The sequence below is a fragment of the Homo sapiens genome, chromosome Y (assembly GCF_000001405.40).
Source record: "Homo sapiens chromosome Y, GRCh38.p14 Primary Assembly".
NCBI lineage: Eukaryota > Metazoa > Chordata > Mammalia > Primates > Hominidae > Homo > Homo sapiens.
The window spans coordinates 11,281,241-11,302,009 of NC_000024.10; the positions used below are offsets into that span (position 1 = coordinate 11,281,241).

The window sequence follows — 20,769 nt, forward strand, 5'->3', positions numbered from 1 at the left end:
TAACTCTCTTTGACATACTCTTGTCTTAATTCTAGTTTATGTCAACAATGTGTAATCATAGATGACTCTTTGCCATTTTGATCTCTCAGTTCTATAAACACCTTTGATCTAAGGATAATGTTTTCCAACAGAATTATTTCTACTCAAAATTCTGAGATGGAATTTGTGGATTTAGTCTCACCCCAATCAATTTTTCAACTCTCAGGACACCAGATGGTGTCCTACAATTCAATTCAATCCTGAGACTATCTATCTGGAGATAGCATCAGATCCCACAAGTTCAGGGGTCAGGCCCACAAGACTGCCCCCCCACCATTAGAGAGAAGTTGTGGGCCTCCCATACTCCTGACCAACTGGCTATAAATTAGGACTTCCATGGATTCCTTCCCCAGGTTCTATAATTTGCTAAGATGGCGCACAGAACCCAAGAAAGCACTTTGCTTACAGTTACTGTCTGATACAAATCAGGAACTGTCAAATAGAAGAGACACATAGGGCCAGGTATGGTGAAAAGGGGCACAAAGCTGCCATATGACCTCTAAGTATATCATAGTATCACCTTCCCAGCACCTCAGAGGTGATGGAGGAGAGGGCTGACAGTTTCAACCATCTAGTTATGCCTTCATGTTTCTGGTGTCGAGCACCCACCCTGAAGCTATACAGGTCTCCAGCTACCACTCATGTCATGTCAATAGCATAAACTCAGGTATGTCTAAGAGGGACTTATGACTAGTAAAGGATGGTCCTCTCATCTCTATCAGGAAATTTCAAGTTTTAGGAGCTCTGTACTGTGAACCGGGGAGGAAGACCAAATAGGACATACACTAGACCAGTTGTGCTAACTACTGTGTGCCTCAAAATTGCCTACAGTTGTGTTACAATAAGAGATTGCTGAGACCTGCTATTGGAATTTCAGATTTGGTAGATCTGGGGGTGTAACCTGAGAATATGCAGTTCTAGTAAGTTCCCAGGTGATGCTGTTGCTGCTAGCACAGGGACCACACTTCCAGAGGGACTGAGTGAAGCATCGTCGTTACTTATAGTAGCAACTTCTCTGTAGTCACAATTTCATTCATCCCATTCTCTGAGCTCCTCCTTTAATCATTCCCTTTCATACGCTGACATAAAATTTTTCAATCTCTCTGAGACCTCCAAAATATATTTTGTCATATTCATAATGACCCTTACCTACTGATGTACTCTGTTTCCTGTTCTCCTGCCTAAATTCCATGGCCAACCATTCCCAGGAAACTTCAACTTCCTTCTTTCTCTTTCACTTTGCTGAACCTAACCAGGAAAATAACCCTGGTTACATCCAAATTTCCACCAAATCCCCACATATATTTTAGCAACTAGCTATATGGATCAAATTGAAAAATATCCCACTTGAAACTGAGAATCTGAGTGCCGCCTATCAATCAATCATACTACATATGTTCCAATCTATTCACTCTCTAATTTACCTAGTTTTGTATCTTATCCTGTCTCTAATCCCTAACACTTCCCCATAAATCCTCAATGTCTTTTTGGTTGTGCTTCCCTGAGAACATTGAATCACCCAAAGACAATTTCCACAGACTCCTGAAACCATTTAAGTTCACTTTCCCATGTCTACACCCACATACTCTCTATTTTCACCTATTATTATCTGTGAAATAACTGGCCCCTATCTTTATATTGTCTGATGATGATTTCTATATTACAGGTGAAGAAAATGAGAATAGGGTTAGAGCTACTTTCTCATTATAGCATAGCTTAGAATCAAACCCACGCAGTCCACCACTGAAACTGGGGTTCCAAGTCAGTGTATTTGGAGAAGGAGAGCTAGTAGAAAAACAATGATGAAAAGATCCAGGATGAAGTTTCTGATGGAAGAAAAGGACATTTTTACTATTATGAACTCCTTGAAGTAAACCCTAAGCATTCTCATCTAGACAAATATCCATTCATCCACTCCAGTGAGCTGATTAAGTTTTAGGATTTTAAGGGTCAGTGAACAATTATTACTCTTTCAGCAATTAAAGAAAGATTAATATGAATATTATATTGGAGAAATTTCATTTAAAACATATTTGACTGATTTTTGGCAATTGTCTTCTATCAGATCATTACCAATCCATATGAGTTGGTAGGAAGGGAGAAAACCCAAAACTTAACCAGATGCCTGAAGTTAGGGCATATTTTATAGCCAACCCAGGGGGGAAAAATGCTCAAAAGGGGAAAGATGAGGACAGAAAATACATTTCAAGGATTTTAACTTTTTGACAAAATGTCAATTATGTGCAAGAAAAACTGATTGTGTGAATATAACTTTGTCATTTACATCTGCCAATTTATTCAGAAATATATAATCTATAAGTTTTTTTAATAGTAGTTTGTTAACACAAAATTTATTCATCAAAGTATCTAAAACATTCTAAAAACACTAAAAATTTTCAATTTAAAGATTAAGCTAAACAGCTCTGTATATATAAGTAAGCTCAAACAAACGTGCATGCTCTCCAACAATAACACTGCTACAGATATTGACTGGTGGTTTTGGTTTCATTTCATTTTATAATGGCAAATCTGGTTAAGACCCAGATTCTGGGCTGGGCGCAGTGGCTCACGTCTGTGATCCCAGCACTTTGGGAGGCTGAGGCAGGCAAATCACAAGGTCAACAGATCCGGACCATCCTGGCCAACATGGTGAAACCCCATCTCTACTAAAAAAACATACAAAAGTTAGCTCGGCATGGTGGCACGTGCCTGTAGTTCCAGCTACTTGGGAGGCTGAGGCAGGAGAATCACTTGGACCTGGGAAGCAGAGGTTGCAGTGAGCTGAGGCTGTGCCACTGTACTCCAGCCTGGTGACAGAGAGAGACTCCATCTCAAAACAAAACAAAATCCCAGATTCTGAATTGAATCTCACAATAAGGATCTCAATTGCCTCAAAGAGAATAAAATACCTAGAAATCCAACTTACAAGGGATGTGAAGGATCTCTTCTAGGAGAACTACAAACCACTGCTCAATGAAATAAAAGAAGATACAAACAAATGTAAGAACCTTCCATGCTCATGGGTAGGAAGAATCAATATTGTAAAAATGGCCATACTGCCCAAGGTACTTTATAGATTCAATGCCATCCCCATCAAGCTACCAATGACTTTCTTCACAGAATTGGAAAAAACTACTTTAAAGTTCATATGGAACCAAAAAAGAGCCTGCATTGCCAAGTCAATCCTAAGCCAAAAGAACAAAGCTGGAGGTACGACGCTACCTGACTTCAAACTATATTAGAAGGCTACAGTGACCAAAAGAGCATGGTACTGGTACCAAAAGAGAGATAGAGGCCAATGGAATGCAACAGAGCCCTCAGAAATAATGCCGCATATCTACAACTATCTGATCTTTGAGAAACCTGACAAAAACAGGAACTAGGGAAAGGATTCACTATTTAATAAATGGTGCTGAGAAAACTGGCTAGCCATATGTAGAAAGCTGAAACTGGATCCCTTCCTTACACCTTATACAAAAATTAATTCAAGATGCATTAAAGACTTACATGTTAGACCTAAAATCATAAAAACCATAGAAAAAAACTAGGCAATACCATTCAGGAGATAGGCATGGGCAAGCACTTCATGTCTAAAACACCAAAAGCAATGGCAACAAAATCCAAAATTGACAAATGGGGTCTAATTAAACTAAAGAGCCTCTGCACAGCAGAAGAAACCACCATCAGAGTGAACAGGCAACCTACAGAATGGGAGAAAAATTTCACAACCTACTCATCTGACAAAGGGCTAATATCCAGAATCTACAATGAACTCAAACAAATTTACAAGAAAAAAACAACCCCATCAAAAAGTGGGCGAAGGATATGGACAGACACTTCTCAAAAGAAGACATTTATACAGCCAAAAAACACATGAAAAAATGCTATCACTGCCCATCAGAGAAAAGCAAATCAAAACCACAGTGAAATACCATCTCACACCAGTTAGAATGGCAATCATTAAAAAGTCAGGAAACAACAGGTGCTGGGGAGGATGTGGAGAAATAGGAACACTTTTACACTGTTGGTGGGACTGTAAACTATTTCAACCATTGTGGAAGTCAGTGTGGTGATTCCTCAGGGATCTAGAACTAGAAATACCATTTGACCCAGCCATCCCATTACTGGGTATGTACCCAAAGGTTTATAAATCATGCTGCTCTAAAGACACATGCACACATATGTTTATTGTGGCACTAGTATCAATAGCAAAGACTTGGAACCAACCCCAATGTCCAACAATGAGAGACTGGGTTAAGAAAATGTGGCACATATACACCATGGAATACTATGCAGCCATAAAAATAATGAGTTTATATCCTTTGTAGGGACATGGATGAAGCTGGAAACCATCATTCTCAGTAAACTATCGCAAAGACGAAAAGCCAAACACCGCATGTTCTCACTCACAGGTGGGAATTGAACAATGAGAACACATGGACACAGGAAGGGGAACATCACACACTGGGAACCGTTGTGGGGGGGGGGAGGGGAGAGGGATAGCATTAGGAGATATACCTAATGTAAATGACGAGTTAATGGGTGCAGCACACCAACATGGCACATGTATACATATGCAACGAACCTGCACGTTGTGCACATGTACCCTAAAACTTAAAGTATAATAATAATAATAAAAAGAAATGAAAACATATGTCCACACACACACACAAAAAGAAAAAAAAAAAGGTTCTCAAAGAGGTCAATATGTATATAATCTATTCTTAAAAAAAATTTCTCCAATTGTTTATTGAAATATCACACAGGCTCTGCCTTTTTTATACCCTTAAGAAGTAAGTATATTTATGTGTAGCTTTTATAAGTGAAAGCTCAGATTGTCTACTCTGTTCTGGTACCACTTTAGTTTAATTATTGGAAAATATTTAATAAAAATGAATTACTCAACAAATGGAAAATTTGAACTTCGCATACTAAATTTTTACTTCATATTATCAACTCTTGAAAAATAAGTGTGTCTATTAGAAATGACACTCATTTGACTATACCATAATATATTTCAGACTTTTTATCTTCAGCTACAGAATTTCTCTGTCCTTTGAATTATGTTAGTGGGCATTATTTTGCCAGTATTGGTGATCCACCTCCACTAATTCGCAACTCTATTATCTTACCCCCAGGGATGCATTTCCATAGTTCTGCCTTGTTATGAGTGTCATTTTTTTTCTTCTGTTTTGTTGACTGCCATTCAAGTAGTTTTGGCTTTATGAGAGATTTTCACTTTATTGTTTATCACCTCCTCATTTTTTTAGCTTCTCATAATTTACTGTATTATATCTGCCTGGGCTTTTGGTTCCTTTACAGATTTGTTTCATTTTATTTTTAGCTTATGATACTTCTAAAGTCTGTACCCTTTTAATTTTCACTTGCTTCATCGTCACATTCTTTTGTTTTGTTTTTATTTCAAAATACCAGAAAGTAGGATGTCTCAGCATATTGGTGAGTGGAATAGTTTATTTATAATCCAAAAAAATCCCATACATTTTGAGAGCTATCTGCTTCTGAGTAAAAATTTTATATATAAATTCTTGAAAAAAACCTTAAACTTCTGAGGGATTGAATGAGATTTTAAAAATCATTTTATACAACAACAGGTGCAAAATTTGTATTCCTCTACTCAAGAGAAATAATGAACATTTGTTATTAGTTTACTAACATCTAAAAGTTAATGTATTCAATTATACATTAATAAAACACAGTTAGGCTTAAGAGGTGGAAAAGTGTAAAACAAACAAGTGTATAATTTACCTTTATTCATATGAAACATCTTTTTGTCTCCTGAAAATAAAGATTAACCAGTGGTGTGCTGAGGCGGGAGGGGGTGTGTTGGAGGGAGAAAAGCCATGATTTGCCAATTTCAGCACAAAACTGAAAATGGTTATTAATCTTTACTAGCTCCAGATATCTTTTAACATATATTGAAATATATGACCCTTAAAAAGAAAACATATATATAGATTTTGACAAAACTTTGCAGTTCCACTCATGGATCCCTGTGTAAGAATCACTTTTCTATGTGTGTTTGCAATTTAAAGAGTTCAGACTTTATGATTCACAGGTAACAACTAATGATTTAATCTCAACACTTAGGCTTTTATAATATGGGAGTCAGGTGTTTAACTGCTGTAGTAGTAACTACTTCTTCTCAGAGAAACTTAGTAGCTAAGACCAGGGAAATGTCTCTTGGTGTGCAACACACCTCTTCTTTCTGAACCTAGAGTATAAGAAGCTAACTTTGTCTCAAAGTTTATATGACTTTTGCATGTGCAGTTACTAGCTATTTTCTTTTGGAACTGTAGGACTTGGAGACCTTTCCCTCTACCCTCTGAGGGTATGATAACAGAGTCTATTGAATAAATGGATAACAAGCATGTCAAAAGAAGAAAATGTGTACACATTTATTACACTCATGGGGGAATCATGGAAAGAAAAGTGGAATCAAAAACAAAACAAAACAAAACAAACAAAACACCACCAAGAAAAAACCCCAGTGAGATTTAGGAGCTTATAAGGAAGGCAGGAGGAAGAATGTAGGAAACTTAGGGGAGAGCAAATGATTTTTGGGAAAGATGACCAGACCCCTAGGAGAATAGATGATAGTTTGTGGCAGTCTGTCTTGGTGTGGAATGGACTCTTAGTCTTGTCTCCTGTGATATGAGGAGTCAATTTTCCCTGGCTGATGAAACTCCTAGGAAGGAGATGAATGTCTTTGTGCTGACAAGACAGTATCTTGAAGCTTTGTTTTCCAATTCAGTTCTAAATCTGCAGTGTATAAAAATCTCCTCATCATGCTTTGGATGTTATGGTAGATAAATGGTATCTTTACAAAGATGCATTCATTCTGGTATTGAAAGTTCCTTTTGGAGGATCTCTCTTGAGGAACGTAAAGAGAGTGCAGAGAAAGCATGTCCCGCAGTTGTTATTTTTCAAATATTTTCAGTTCGATGTAATCAGTACACCAAAGCAATCCATTCAGGACTGACATTTCCTGAACACCTTCAGAACTCTTTTTATCCCATGTTATTTCTATGAGATCACGTGATTTAAGAATAACTTTTACTTGCCACTTACATATATATTGAAAAGGCAAACTTTCCTTTCATAATTTGCTAATTTTGGCAAAGTACTTTAACAAAAGTTAAATTAAGTGAGTAAGTGAAATTTTCTGTTCTATTGTTTTGAAAACAATTCTAGAAACAGTCCTTGTAAGAACAGCAAAAAGAAAAAGATAATTCTCAACTGCAGCTTCAACCATTCTTTGCGTAACAATGTATCTAATTAAAAGGCAAAACTCTCTATTTCAGGTTTATATATATCAATTGCTTGATTAGAACGTAAATTATTTACCCCACATAATCTGGTGTCAAAAAACTTATAATAAAATTACTTTGATTTTATTGCTTATAAGTTTGTGAATTTAAATCTCAACTGACAATGATGAATTTATTTGCTTTGTGCTGACAAGACAGTATGTTGAAGTTTTGTTTTCCAAGTTAGTTCTAAATCTGCAGAGTATCAAAATCTCCTCATTGTGCTTTGGATGTTATGGTACATAAATGGTATCTTCACAAAGATATATTCATTCTGGTACTGAAAGTGCATACTTCAAATTCTTCATGAACAGTTTTATTGAAAAAATATGTAGACAAGCCATTAATTATACACAGTGATCTGGAACAAATTCTTACAAGAAGCATAGCGTGTCTTCCATTAACTGTATACAATTTATAAAAAGTTACTGAAAGCCTTCCTGAGGTTAAACAATAAATCTTTTAAATTTAACCACTGTGCTCCCTCAAAGGTAATTTTTTCTTTATGACACTCACTTAGGGGATACAGTCAGATCTCAGCCTACTTTAAACAACTAGGCAGTATTTTTAGTGCACTTTTCTGTTTGTTAAAAAGCTAGTTGTCAAGAATAAGTTGCTCAATTATCTTCCTCAATTACTTTTTATTTTGTTTTATAATTATTATTCTATTTTGGTTTTCCTTTAGAATTGTGGACTACCTTGAATCAGAAATTGCAGAGAATATATCAATATGTAAGAATGCACTCTTCAATCAAACTAGATCTCGAAAGTGTTTTGTTGTAGTTTATACCTTGAATTCAAAGGCCATTCTATACAAGGCACTTGAATAATTTTCAAGCTCTTATATTTCATAATAGTACAGAATTTATTGTTCTTGTATTTGCAAGGAGATAGACCAGATAAAATATCACTTTATTTTTTACAGTGTTGACTTTGATATTCTAAACTTGTCAGTTTATACAGATCAATGAAGACTCTGTACATGTAAAATTCACTATAATTTTTTTCTGGTATGACAGTCCAAACAAATAGTAACTACATACCCAAACAGGTAAAGTAAAAATATACAATAGCTTGACAAAAAAAAAAAAAAAGAAGAAAAAAGAAACCCCTATACATTCCTTAACATTCTAAAACTCTGAGGACCAAATTGAATTCAAAAGAAACATTTCTGGTGGGCACAGAAAGGGCTAAAAAGCTAAAGTATATAATAAGTAAATTCCTCATTGCTATAAAATATATGACCAGCATGACATTTCAATACATGTTCAAGTTTTCTGAAAAAAGTTCTAGGATAATAGGATTTCAACTTTTGATTCTACAGATATCATTCTTGTGATTGGTATGGTAGGATCATCCTCTTCATGTATTAGTGGATTCAAATGAAAAAAAAATCAGGCAGCTAGTTCCTTTCCAAGAAGCCTTAGAGATTGTTGTACATAAAAATGTGAGCCATATTTCTGATTCAAATTTTAATTAGAGAATTCTCTTTATTCCCTCTTCTGCATAAAATTATGCACTTGCACTCTGCTCTCCAGACAAGTAAAACTTCTTACCTGCTATAATTTGAGATAATCAAGACTCAGAACATATTACCTCCTAGCTGAAAGTCCCAACAAACTTCTCAGGACAAAAACAACAAAAAGTTAAATACACAGAGATAGAGTATAAAACAGTGGTTACCAGGGGCTGGGGGTGAGAAGAGAAAATGGAGATAGAGAATTCGAAGGATGCAAAGTTGCAGATATGTAGAATTAATAAATTGAGGTATCTAATGTACAACATGAGGACTGTAAGTATTAATATTTATTGTATATGGCATTTAACTGAAAGGGTAGTTTGTAGGTACTCTTTCCTCACACACATATCCAAAAGAAAGGTAACTGAGATTTTCAAAGGGAATGCTTCCAGGTTTTGCCCATTCAGTATGATATTGGCTGTGGGTTTGTCATAAATAGCTCTTAATATTTCGAGATACATCCCATCAATATCTAATTAATTGAGAGTTTTTAGCATGAAGGTTGTTGAATTTTGTCAAAGGGCTTTGCTGCATCTATTGAGATAATCGTGGTTTTTGACGTTGGTTCTGTTTATATGATGGATTACATTTATTGATTTGCATATGTTGTACCAGCCTTGCATCCCAGGGATGCAGCCCATTTGATCATGGTGGATAAGCTTTTTGATTTGCTGCTGGATTTGGTTTGCTAGTATTTTATTGGGGATTTTTGCACTCCACTCCACTCCATTCCATTCCATTCCATTCCATTCCATTCCATTCCATTCCATTCCATTCCATTCCATTCCATTCCATTCCATTCCATCTCATTTCATTCCACTCCCTTCCACTCTACTCCACTCCATTCCACTTTACTCCAGTCCACTACACTCCATTCCATTCCATTCCATTCCATTTCATTCCAATCCATTCTATTCCATTCTTTTATTTCGTCAGGAACTCACTCTGTCACCAGGCTGTAGTGAAGTGGCACAATCTCAGCCCACATTTCATGTCACCGTGCCATTCCATTCCATTCCATTCCATTCCATTCCATTCCATTCCATTCCATTCCATTCCATTCCACTCCACACCACTCCATTCCACTCTACTCCACTCTACTGCATTCCTTTCCATTACATCCGATTCCAATCCTCTTTATTCCACTCTACTCCACTACACTCAACTCCACTCCACCCCACTCAATTCCATTCCACTCTAATCCATTCCATTCCTTTCTTTCGATAGAATCTCACCTGTAACCCAGGATGGAGTGCAGTGGCACAATCTCAGCTCACATTTCATTTCACCATTCTATTACTTTCTATTCCATTCCATTCCATTCCATTCCATTCCATTCCATTCCATTCCATTCTACTCCATTCCTCTCCACTCCACTGCACTCCATTCCATTCGATTCCAATCCACTCAACTCCACTCCGCTACATTCCATCCCATCCCATTCCATTCCACTCAATTTCACTCCACTCCATTCCATTCCACTCCATCCCATCCCATTCCACTACATTGCATTCCACTCCACTCCACTCCACTCCACTCCACTCCACTCCACTGAATTCTACTCCATTCCATTCCATATCATTCCATTCTATTCCTTTCTGTCGACAGGATCTCACTCTGTCACCCAGGATGGAGTGCAGTGTCATAATCTCAGCTATCATTTCATTTCACGATTACATTCCATTCCATGGCATTCCATTCCATTCCATCTTTTCCGATTACACTACATTCCACTCCATTCCTCTCCTCTCCGTTCCATTCCATTCCATTGCATTCCATTGTATTCCATTCCATTGCAATGCATTCAATTCCATTCCATCCCATTCCGTTCCACTCCTGCGAGCTCCACTCCACTCCACTCCACTGCATTCCATTCCATTCCATTCCATACCATAACATTCCATTCAACTCCACTCCACACCACTCCCCTGCATTCCATTCCCTTCCATTCCATTCCATTTCACTCCATTGCATTCCATTCCTTTCTTTTGACAGGATATCACTGTGTCACCGAGGCTGGAGTACAGTGGCACAATCTCAGCTCACATTACATGTCAACTTTCCATTGCATTGCATACTATTCCATTGCATTCCGTTCAATTCCATTCCATTTAATTCAATTCCATTCCATCCCACTCCGTTCTACTCCACTCCACTGCATTCCACTACATTCGATTCCATTCCACTCCATTCCACTCCTATTCACTCTACTGCGCTCCACTCCATTCCACTCCATCCACTCCATCCCATTCCATTCCGCTCAATTCCACTGCTCTCCACTCCACCCCACTCCACTCCACTTCATTCCATTCCATTCCATCCCATTCCGTTCCGCTCCTTTCTATTTCAATCCACTTCATTCCAGTCCACACCAATCCAGTCGACTCCATTCCATTCCATTCCATTGCATTCCATTCTACTCCACTCCACTCCACCGAATTCCACTCCACTCCACTCTACTCCATTCCACTCCACTCCATTCCACTCCACTGCATTCCATTCCACTCCACTCCACTCCATTCCAGTCCATTCCACTCCACTAAACTCCACTCCCCCCTATCCCATTCCACTCCTTTCTTTCTACAGTATCTCTCTCTGTCACGCAGGCTGTAGTGCAGTGGCACAATCTCAGCACCCATTCCGTTCCGTTCCGTTCCATTCCGTTCCATTCCAGTTCGTTCCACTTCACTCCACTCCAGTGTACTACATTCTATTACATCTGATTCCATTCCACTACATTGCACTTTTCTCCACTTCACTGAAATCCACTCCACTCTATTCCATTCCATTCCTTTCCACTCCTCTCCACTTTGCTCCACTCCACTTAATTGCATTCCATTCCATTCCATTCCATTCCATTCCATTCCATTCCATTCCATTCCATTCCATTCCATTCCTCTCCACTCCACTCCACTCCATTCCATTCCACTCCATTCCACTCCACTCCACTCCACTCCTCTCCACCCCATTCCACTCTACTCCACACCACTCCACTCCGTTCCACTCCACTCCACTGCATTCCATTCCATTCCACTCCATTCCATTCCACTACAGTCCATTCCAGTCCACTTCATTCCATTCCACTCCACTCCAGTCCACTCCACTCCATTCCACTCCACTCCACTCTGCTCCAACCCATTGCACGACTATCTTTCGACAGGATCTACCTCTGTCACACAGGCTGTAGTGCAGTAGCACAATCTCAGCACCTGTTAAATTCCTTTTCATTCCATTCCACTGCATTCCATTCCAATGAGTTCCACTGCACTTCACTCCACTGCACTCCACTCCATTCCACTCCACTCCACTCCATTCCGTTCCACTCTACTCCACTCCACTACATTTCATTCCATCACATTCCGTTCCACTCCACTTTACTCTATTCCGTTACATTGAAATCCATTCCATTCCAATATTTTCTTTCGACAGGATCTCACTCGGTCACCCAGGCTGGAGTGCAGTGCCACAATGTCAGCTCACATTTCATTTCCCCATTCCCTTCCCTTCCATTGCATTCCCTTCCTTTCCCTTCCATTCCATTCCATTCCCTTCCATTCCATTCCACTCCACTCCACTCCATTCTTTTCCATTCCACTACACTCCATTCCATTCCAATATTTTCTTTCAACAGGATCTCACTCTGTCACCCAAAATGGAGTGCAATTACAAAATCCCAGCTCACATTTCATGTCACCATTCCATTCCATTCCACTCCCCTAAATTCCATTCCACTCCACTCCACTCAACTCCACTCCACGCCACTCCACTCCACTCCACGCCACTCCAGTCATTCCATTCTACTACATTCCATTCCATTCCTTTATTTCAAAATGGATCTCTCTCTGTCACCCAGACTGGAGTGCAGTGGCACAATCTTAGCTCACATTTAATTTCTCCATTCCATTCCATTCCATTCCATTCCATTCCATTCCATTCCATTCCATTCCATTCAACCCCATTCTATTCCATTCTATTCCATTCCACCCCATTCCATTCCATTCCCTTCTTTCGATGGGATATCACTGTGTCAAAAATGGCTGGAATACAGGGGCAAAATCTCAGCTCACATTTCATTTCACCATTCCATTTTTTCTTTCCTTTCCATTCCATTCCATCCCACTACACTCAATTCCACTCCACTCCCCTCCCCTCCCCCATTCCATTCCATTCCATCCCATTCCATTTCACTCCATTTCTCTCCACTCCACTCCCGTCCACTCCACTCCCCTCCACTCCATTCCTTCCACTCCATCCCATTCCATTCCATTCCATTCTATTCCACTCCACTCCACTCCACTCCACTCCACTCCACCCCATCCCATCCCATTCTATTCCATTCCATTCCATTCCATTCCATTCCATTCCATTCCACTCCATTGCATTCCATTCCTCTCTTTCGAGAGGATCTCACTCTGTCACCCAGGCTGGAGTGCAGTGGCAGTATCTCAGCTCACATTTCAATTCACCATTCCATTCCATTGCATTCCATTCCATTCCATTGCATTCCATTGCATTTAATTCCATTGCATTCCATTCCATTGCAATGCATTCAATTCTATTCCATCCCATTTCATTCCACTCCTGCGAACTCCACTCAACTCCACTCCACTCCATTCCATTCCATTCTATTCCATTCCATTCCATTCCATTCCATTCCATTCCATTCCATTCCATTCCTTACCATACCATACCGTTCCATTACACTCCACTCCACTCCACTTCACTCCACTCCATCCCATTCCATCCCATTCCATTCCACTCCATTCCAATATAATGCACTCCACTCCGCTCCATTCCATTCCATTCCATTCCACACCTGTCCATTCCATTCCTTTCTTTTGACAATATTTCACTCTGTCACACTGGCTGGAGTGTAGTGTTACAATCTCAACTCATATTTCATTTCATCATTCCATTCTATTCCGTTACATTCCTTTCCATTCTATTCATTTCCATTCCACTATATTCCATTCCACTCCACTCCACTTGGCTCCACTTCATTCAATTTCATTCCGTTCCACTCCACTCTACTCCACTCCTCTCCACTCCACTACATTCAATTCCATCCAATTCCATACCACTCCACTCCCCTCCATTTCATTCCATTCGATTCCATCCCATTCCATTCCATTCTACTCCACTCCCATCCACTCCTATCCACTCCCTTCCATTCCATTCCTCTCCACTCCATTCCATTCCACTTCACTCCTATCCACTCCACTACATTCCAATCCATTCCACTCCAATCCATTCCATTCCTTACATTCCACACTATGTCACTCTGTTACCCATTCTGGAATACAGTGGCATAATCTCAGCTTACATTTCATTTCGCTAATCCATTCCATTCCATTCCACTCTATTCCACTGCACTCCACTCCACTCCTTTCATTCCATTCCATTCCACTCGACTCCATTCCACTCTCTGCCACTCCATTCCACAGCACTCCATTCCATTACAGTCCATCCCATTCCATTCCACTCCACACCACTCCACTCCACACCACTCCACTCCAATCCATTCCATTCCATTTCTTTCTTTCAACAGCATCTCACTCTGTCACCCAGGCTGGCGTGCAGTGGCACAAATTCAGCTCACATTTCATTTCACCATTCCATTCCATTCTATTCCATTGCATTCCATTCCTTTGCATTCCATTCCATTGCATTCCATTCCATTCTATTCTGCTCCATTCTATTCCACTCGACTCTATTCCACTCTCCGCCACTCCAGTCCACTCCACTCCACTCGATGGCATTCCATTCCATCCCATTTAATTCCACTACAATCCACTCTACTCCTCTCCAATCAACTCCACTACACCATAATCCATTCCATTCCATTCCATCACATTCCATTCCACTCCATTCCACTCTACTTCATTCCACTCCACCACATTCCATTCAACTCCACTCCACTCCAGTCCATTCCACTCCACTCCACTCCATTCCACTCCGTTTCACTCAACTCCAATCCACTCCACTGCTTCCGATTACAATTCTTTCTTTTGACAGGATCTCCCTCTGTCCCACAGGTTTTTATGCAGTGGCACAATCTCATCACCCATTCCAGTCCATTCCATTCCATTCCATTTCATTCACCTCAAATCCACTCCAGTCCACTCCACTCCCTTCCACTCCACTGCATGCCACTCCGTTCCATTCCATTCCACTCCACACCACTCCACTGCTCTCCAATCCACTCCAATCCATTCCACTCCAGTCCATTCCAATCCATTCCACTCTACGCCATAACATTAAGCTCCACTCCACTCCATTCCATTCCACCACACTCCACCCCATTCCATTCCACTTGATTCCATTCCACTGCACTCCATTCCACCCCCATCCACTCCATTCCAGTCCACTCCACTCAACTCCATTCCATTCCACACCAATCCGTTCCACTCCATTTCACTCCACTCCACTCCACTGCAATCCACTCCACTCCATCCCAGTCCACTCCTTTCTTTCCAGAGGATCTCCCTCTGTCACACAGTCTGTAGCACAGTGACACGATCTCACCACCGATTCCATTCCATTCCATTCCATTCCATTCCATTCCATTCCATTCCATTCCATTCCATTCCATTCAAATACACTCCTTGCCACTACATTCCTTTGCATCCGATTCCATTCGAATCCATTCCACTCCACTCCACTCCATTCAATTCCACTCCACTCCACTCCATTTCATTCCACTTGAGTCCATCCACTCCTCTTCACTCTATTCCACTCCACGCCACTGCATTCCACTCCACACCACTGCATTCCACTCCACTCCACTCCATTCCATTCCACTCCACTCCATTCCATTCCATTCCAGTCCAGACCATTCCACTCCATTCCACTAAATTCCACCCCACTTTATGCCATTCCATTCCACTGCAATCCATTGCACTCCTCTCCACTACTCTCCACTCCTCTGCACTCCATTCCACTCCATTCCACTCCACTTCTTTCAACTCCACTCATCTCCATTCCAATTCATTCCATTCCATTCCACTGCACTACATTCCACTGAATTCCACTCCACTCCACTCCTCCTTTTCATTCCATTCCATTCCATTGCATTCCATTCCATTCCATTCCATTCCATTCCATTCCATTCCATTCCATTCCATTCCATTCCATTCCATTCCGCTCAGGTTGATTCAATTGCATTCTATTGCATTCTATTCTATTGCATTCAATTCCATTCCATTGCATTGCATTCCCCTCCCATTCATTCAATTAGAGTCTATTCCATTCCATTCCTTTCCATTCCATTCCATTCCAATGTGGTTGATTCAATTCCACTCTCTTCCATTCCATTCCATTTCATTCCATTCCATTCCATTCCATTCCATTCCATTCCATTCCATTCCATTCCATTCCATTCCATTCCATTCCACTCGGGTTCACTCAATTCCATTCTATTCCAATCCATTCCATTCCATTCCATTCCATTCCATTCCATTCCATTCCATTCCATTCAGTTTGATTCCATTTCATTCCATTCCTTTCCTTTCCATTGCATTCCATTCCATTCCATTCCATTCCATTCCATTCCATTCCATTCCATTCCATTCCATTCCACTCGGGTTGATTCCATTCCTTTCCTATCCATTCTATTTCATGCCATTCCACTCGGGTTGATTCAATTCCATTGTATTCCATTCCATTCCATTCCATTCCATTCCATTCCATTCCATTCCATTCCATTCCACTCGGTTTCATTCAATTCCTTTCCATTTGTTCCATTCAATTCTGTTCAATTCAATTCCATTCCATTCCTTTCCACTCGGAGTGATTCAATTCCATTCTATTCCTTTTAATTCCATTCCATTCCATTCCATTCCATTCCATTCCATTCCATTCCATTCCATTCCATTCCATTCTATTCCATTCCATTCCATTCCATTCCTTTCCACTCTGGTTTATTCAATTCCATTCTATGAAATTCCATTCCATTCCATTCCATTATATTCCATTTCCTTCCATTCCAATCCATACCACTATTGTTGATTCAATTCCATTCTATTCCATTCCATTCCACTCCATTCCATTCCATTCCATTCCATTCCATTCCATTCCATTCCATTCCATTCCAATCCATTCCATTCCATTCCACTCCACTTGTTGATTCAATTCCATTCTTTTCCATTCCATTGAATTCCATTAAATTGCATTCCACTCCATTGCATTCCATTCCACTCCACTCGGGTAGATTCAATTCCATTGCATTCCATTGCATTGCATTACATTCCTTTCCATTCCATTCCATTCCATTCTATTCCATTCCATTCTACTCTTTTTCCTTTCCATTCCTTTCCATAGCATTCCATTCCATTCCATTCTATTCCATTCCATTCTATTCCACTTGTGTTGATTCAAATCCATTCCATTCCATGGCAATCCATTCCATTCCATTCCTTTCCTTTCCATTCCATTCCATTCCATTCCATTCCATTCCATTCCATTCCATTCCATTCCATTCCATTCCGCTCGAGGTGATTCAATTAAATTCTTTTCCATTCTATTCTATTCCGTTCAATTCCATTCCATTGCATTCCATTCCCCTCCCGTTCATTCAAGTAGAGTCCATTCCATTCCATTCCATTCCATTCCACTGTGGTTGATTCAATTCCACTCTATTCCATTCCATTGCATTCCATTCCAATCGGTGTGATTGAATTCCACTCTATTCCATTCCTTTCCCTTCCATTCAATTTCATGCGATTACACTCGGGTTGATTCCATTCCATTCCATTCCATTCCTTTCCATTCCATTCCGTTCCGTTCCATTCCATTCCACTCGGTTTCATTCAATTCCTTTCTATTTCTTTCCATTCCATTCTGTTCAATTCCATTCCATTCCATTCCTTTCCACTCTGGTTTATTCAATTCTATTCTATGAAATTCCATTCCATTCCTTTCCATTATATTCCATTATATTCCATTTCTTTCCATTCCATTCCATTCCACTCTTGTTGAATAAATTGCACTCTATTCCATTCCATTCTACTCCATTCCATTCCATTCCATTCTATTCCATTCTATTCCATTCCATTCCATTCCATTCCATTCCATTCCATTCTATTCTATTCCATTCCATTCCATTCCATTCCACTCCACTTGTTGATTCAATTCCTTTCTTTTCCATGTCATTGAATTCCATTAAATTGCATTCCATTCCTTTGCATTCCATTGCGTTCCATTCCACTCCACTCGGGTAGATTCACTTCCATTGTATTCCATTCCATTCCATTCCATTGCATTCCATTCCATTCCATTCCATTCCATTCCATTCCATTCCATTCCACCCTGTTTGTTTCCTTTCCATTCCATTCCATTCCATTCCATTCCATTCCATTCCACTCCACTCTGTTGCATTCCATTCCATTTCACTCAGGTTGTTTCAATTCTATTCTATTCCATTTCATTCCTTTCCATTCCATTCCATTCCATTCCACTCGTGTTGATTTAATTCCATTAAATTGCATTTCATTCCATTTTATTCCCTTCCATTCCATTCTATTCCAATCCCTTCCATTCACTGGGGATGATTCAATTCCATTCTTTTCCATTCCATTCCGTTCCATTCCGTTCCATTCCACTCCATTCCATTCCGTTCCATTCCATTCCATTCCATTCCACTCCATTCCATTCCATTCTACTCCACTCGGGTTGATTCAATTCCATTACATTCCATGGCATTCCATTCCATTCCATTCCGTTCCAATCCATTCCACTCTGGTTGATTCAATTCCACTCTATTCCATTCCATTCCATTCCATTCCATTCCATTCCATTCCACTCCATTCCATTCCATTCTACTCCACTCGGGTTGATTCAATTCCATTACATTCCATGGCATTCCATTCCATTCCATTCCGTTCCAATCCATTCCACTCTGGTTGATTCAATTCCACTCTATTCCATTCCATTCCATTCCATTCCATTCCATTCCATTCCATTCCATTCCACTCAAGTTGATTCAAGTCCATTCTATTCCATTCCATTCCGTTCCATTCCATTCCATTCCATTCCATTCCATTCCATTCCATTCCATTCCACTGGGTTTGAGTCAATACCATTCTATTCCATTCAATTTCATTCCATTCCATTCCATTCCATTCCATTCCATTCCATTCCATTCCATTCCACTCCACTCAAGTTGATTCAAGTCCATTCTATTCCATTCCATTCCATTACATTTCATTACATTCGTGTTGATTCCATTCCATTCCATTCCATTCCATTCCATTCCATTCCATTCCATTCCATTCCATTCTATTCCATTCCTATCCATTCCATTCCATTCCCTTCCATTCCATAACCCTCGGGTTGATTCAATTCCATGCTACTCCATTGCATTCCACCCCAATCCATTCCATTCCATTCCAAAATCCTCGGGTTGATTCAATTCCATTCTATTCCATTGCATTGCATTCCATTCCATTCCATTCCTTTCACTTCCATTCCACTCGGGTTGATTCAAATCCGTTCTATTCCATTCCATTCCATTCCATTCCATTCCATTCCATTCCATTCCATCCCATTCCATCCCTTTCCATTCCATTCCCTTCCACTCGGTTGATTCCATTCCATTCCATTTCATACCATTCCACTCCACTGCATTCCATTCCATTCCATTCCATTCCACTCAGTTGATTCCATTCCTCTCCTTTCCATTCCTTGTCAGTTCATTCAATTCCATGACATTCAATTCCACTCGGGTTGATTCCATTCCATTGCATTCTATTCCTTTCCATTCCATTTCATTACATTCTGTTGCATTCCACTCCTGTTGATTCCATTCCATTCCATTCCATTCCATTCCATTCTATTCCATTCCATTCCATTCCACTTGGGTTGATTCCATTCAATTCCATTCCATTCCCGTCCTTTCCATTCCCCTTGGGTTGATTACATTCCCTTCCATTCCATTCAATTCCCCTCGGGTTGTTTCCATTCCATTCCGTTCCATTCCATTGCATTCCATTTTATTCCTTTCCACTCGGATTGACTCTATTACATTCCATTCCATTCTATTCCATTCCATTCCATTCCATTCCATTCCATTCCATTGCCTTCCATTCCACATAGTTTGATTCAATTACATTCTATATCATTGCTTTCCATTCCATTCCATTTCACTCCACTCCACTCTCATCCATTCCATGCCATTCCTGTTGATTCCGTTCCATTTAATGCCATTCCATTTAATTCCATTCTATTCCATACCATTCCACTCCGGTTGATTCCATTCCATTCCATTCCTTTCCATTCCATTCAATTCCACTCGGGTTCAATACATTCCATTCCATTCCATTCTTTTCCTTTCCATTCCATTCCATTCAAATCGTGTTGATTCCATTCCATTCCATTCCCTTCCATTCCGTTCAATTCCATTCCTCTCGGGTTTATTTCATTCCATAGAATTCATCTCAATTAAATTCCATTCCATTCCATTCCATTCCATTGCACGCGGGTTGATTCCGTTTCATTCCTTTCGATTTGATTCCATTCTATTCCCCTCGTTTTGATTCCATTACATTCTATTCCATTCCATTCCATTCCATTCCATTCCATTCCATTCCATTCCATTCCACTCGAATTGTTTCCATTCCTTTCGATTCCATTCCATTTCATTCCATTCCATTCCATTCCATTGCATTCCATTCCATTCCATACCATTCTATGCCAATTGGTTTGATGCCATCCGATTCCATTCCATTCCATTCTATTCCATTCCATTCCATTCCATTCCATTCCTTTCTTTTCCACTCGGGTTTACTCTATTCCATTTCATTACATTCCATTACATTAAATTCCATTCCATTCCATTCCTCTCGGTTGATTCCACTCCATTCCAATCCATTCCATTCCAATCCATTC

At 39.8% G+C, this 20,769-nt stretch overlaps 7 annotated features.

Annotated features, from left to right (window-relative positions):
* Positions 709-1,210: an enhancer, noted in NCBI's record as "OCT4 hESC enhancer chrY:13437625-13438126 (GRCh37/hg19 assembly coordinates)". NCBI's record gives its function as "activates a minimal SCP1, AML or CMV promoter by ChIP-STARR-seq in naive and primed H9 embryonic stem cells {active_cell/tissue: H9 hESC(naive and primed)}" and the evidence as "EXISTENCE:reporter gene assay evidence [ECO:0000049][PMID:30033119]".
* Positions 14,505-15,006: an enhancer, noted in NCBI's record as "NANOG hESC enhancer chrY:13451421-13451922 (GRCh37/hg19 assembly coordinates)". NCBI's record gives its function as "activates a minimal SCP1, AML or CMV promoter by ChIP-STARR-seq in naive H9 embryonic stem cells {active_cell/tissue: H9 hESC(naive)}" and the evidence as "EXISTENCE:reporter gene assay evidence [ECO:0000049][PMID:30033119]".
* Positions 15,868-16,484: an enhancer, noted in NCBI's record as "OCT4-NANOG-H3K27ac-H3K4me1 hESC enhancer chrY:13452784-13453400 (GRCh37/hg19 assembly coordinates)". NCBI's record gives its function as "activates a minimal SCP1, AML or CMV promoter by ChIP-STARR-seq in naive H9 embryonic stem cells {active_cell/tissue: H9 hESC(naive)}" and the evidence as "EXISTENCE:reporter gene assay evidence [ECO:0000049][PMID:30033119]".
* Positions 16,485-17,102: an enhancer, noted in NCBI's record as "OCT4-NANOG-H3K27ac-H3K4me1 hESC enhancer chrY:13453401-13454018 (GRCh37/hg19 assembly coordinates)". NCBI's record gives its function as "activates a minimal SCP1, AML or CMV promoter by ChIP-STARR-seq in naive and primed H9 embryonic stem cells {active_cell/tissue: H9 hESC(naive and primed)}" and the evidence as "EXISTENCE:reporter gene assay evidence [ECO:0000049][PMID:30033119]".
* Positions 17,103-17,718: an enhancer, noted in NCBI's record as "OCT4-NANOG hESC enhancer chrY:13454019-13454634 (GRCh37/hg19 assembly coordinates)". NCBI's record gives its function as "activates a minimal SCP1, AML or CMV promoter by ChIP-STARR-seq in naive H9 embryonic stem cells {active_cell/tissue: H9 hESC(naive)}" and the evidence as "EXISTENCE:reporter gene assay evidence [ECO:0000049][PMID:30033119]".
* Positions 18,337-18,953: an enhancer, noted in NCBI's record as "OCT4-NANOG hESC enhancer chrY:13455253-13455869 (GRCh37/hg19 assembly coordinates)". NCBI's record gives its function as "activates a minimal SCP1, AML or CMV promoter by ChIP-STARR-seq in naive H9 embryonic stem cells {active_cell/tissue: H9 hESC(naive)}" and the evidence as "EXISTENCE:reporter gene assay evidence [ECO:0000049][PMID:30033119]".
* Positions 18,954-19,570: an enhancer, noted in NCBI's record as "OCT4-NANOG hESC enhancer chrY:13455870-13456486 (GRCh37/hg19 assembly coordinates)". NCBI's record gives its function as "activates a minimal SCP1, AML or CMV promoter by ChIP-STARR-seq in naive H9 embryonic stem cells {active_cell/tissue: H9 hESC(naive)}" and the evidence as "EXISTENCE:reporter gene assay evidence [ECO:0000049][PMID:30033119]".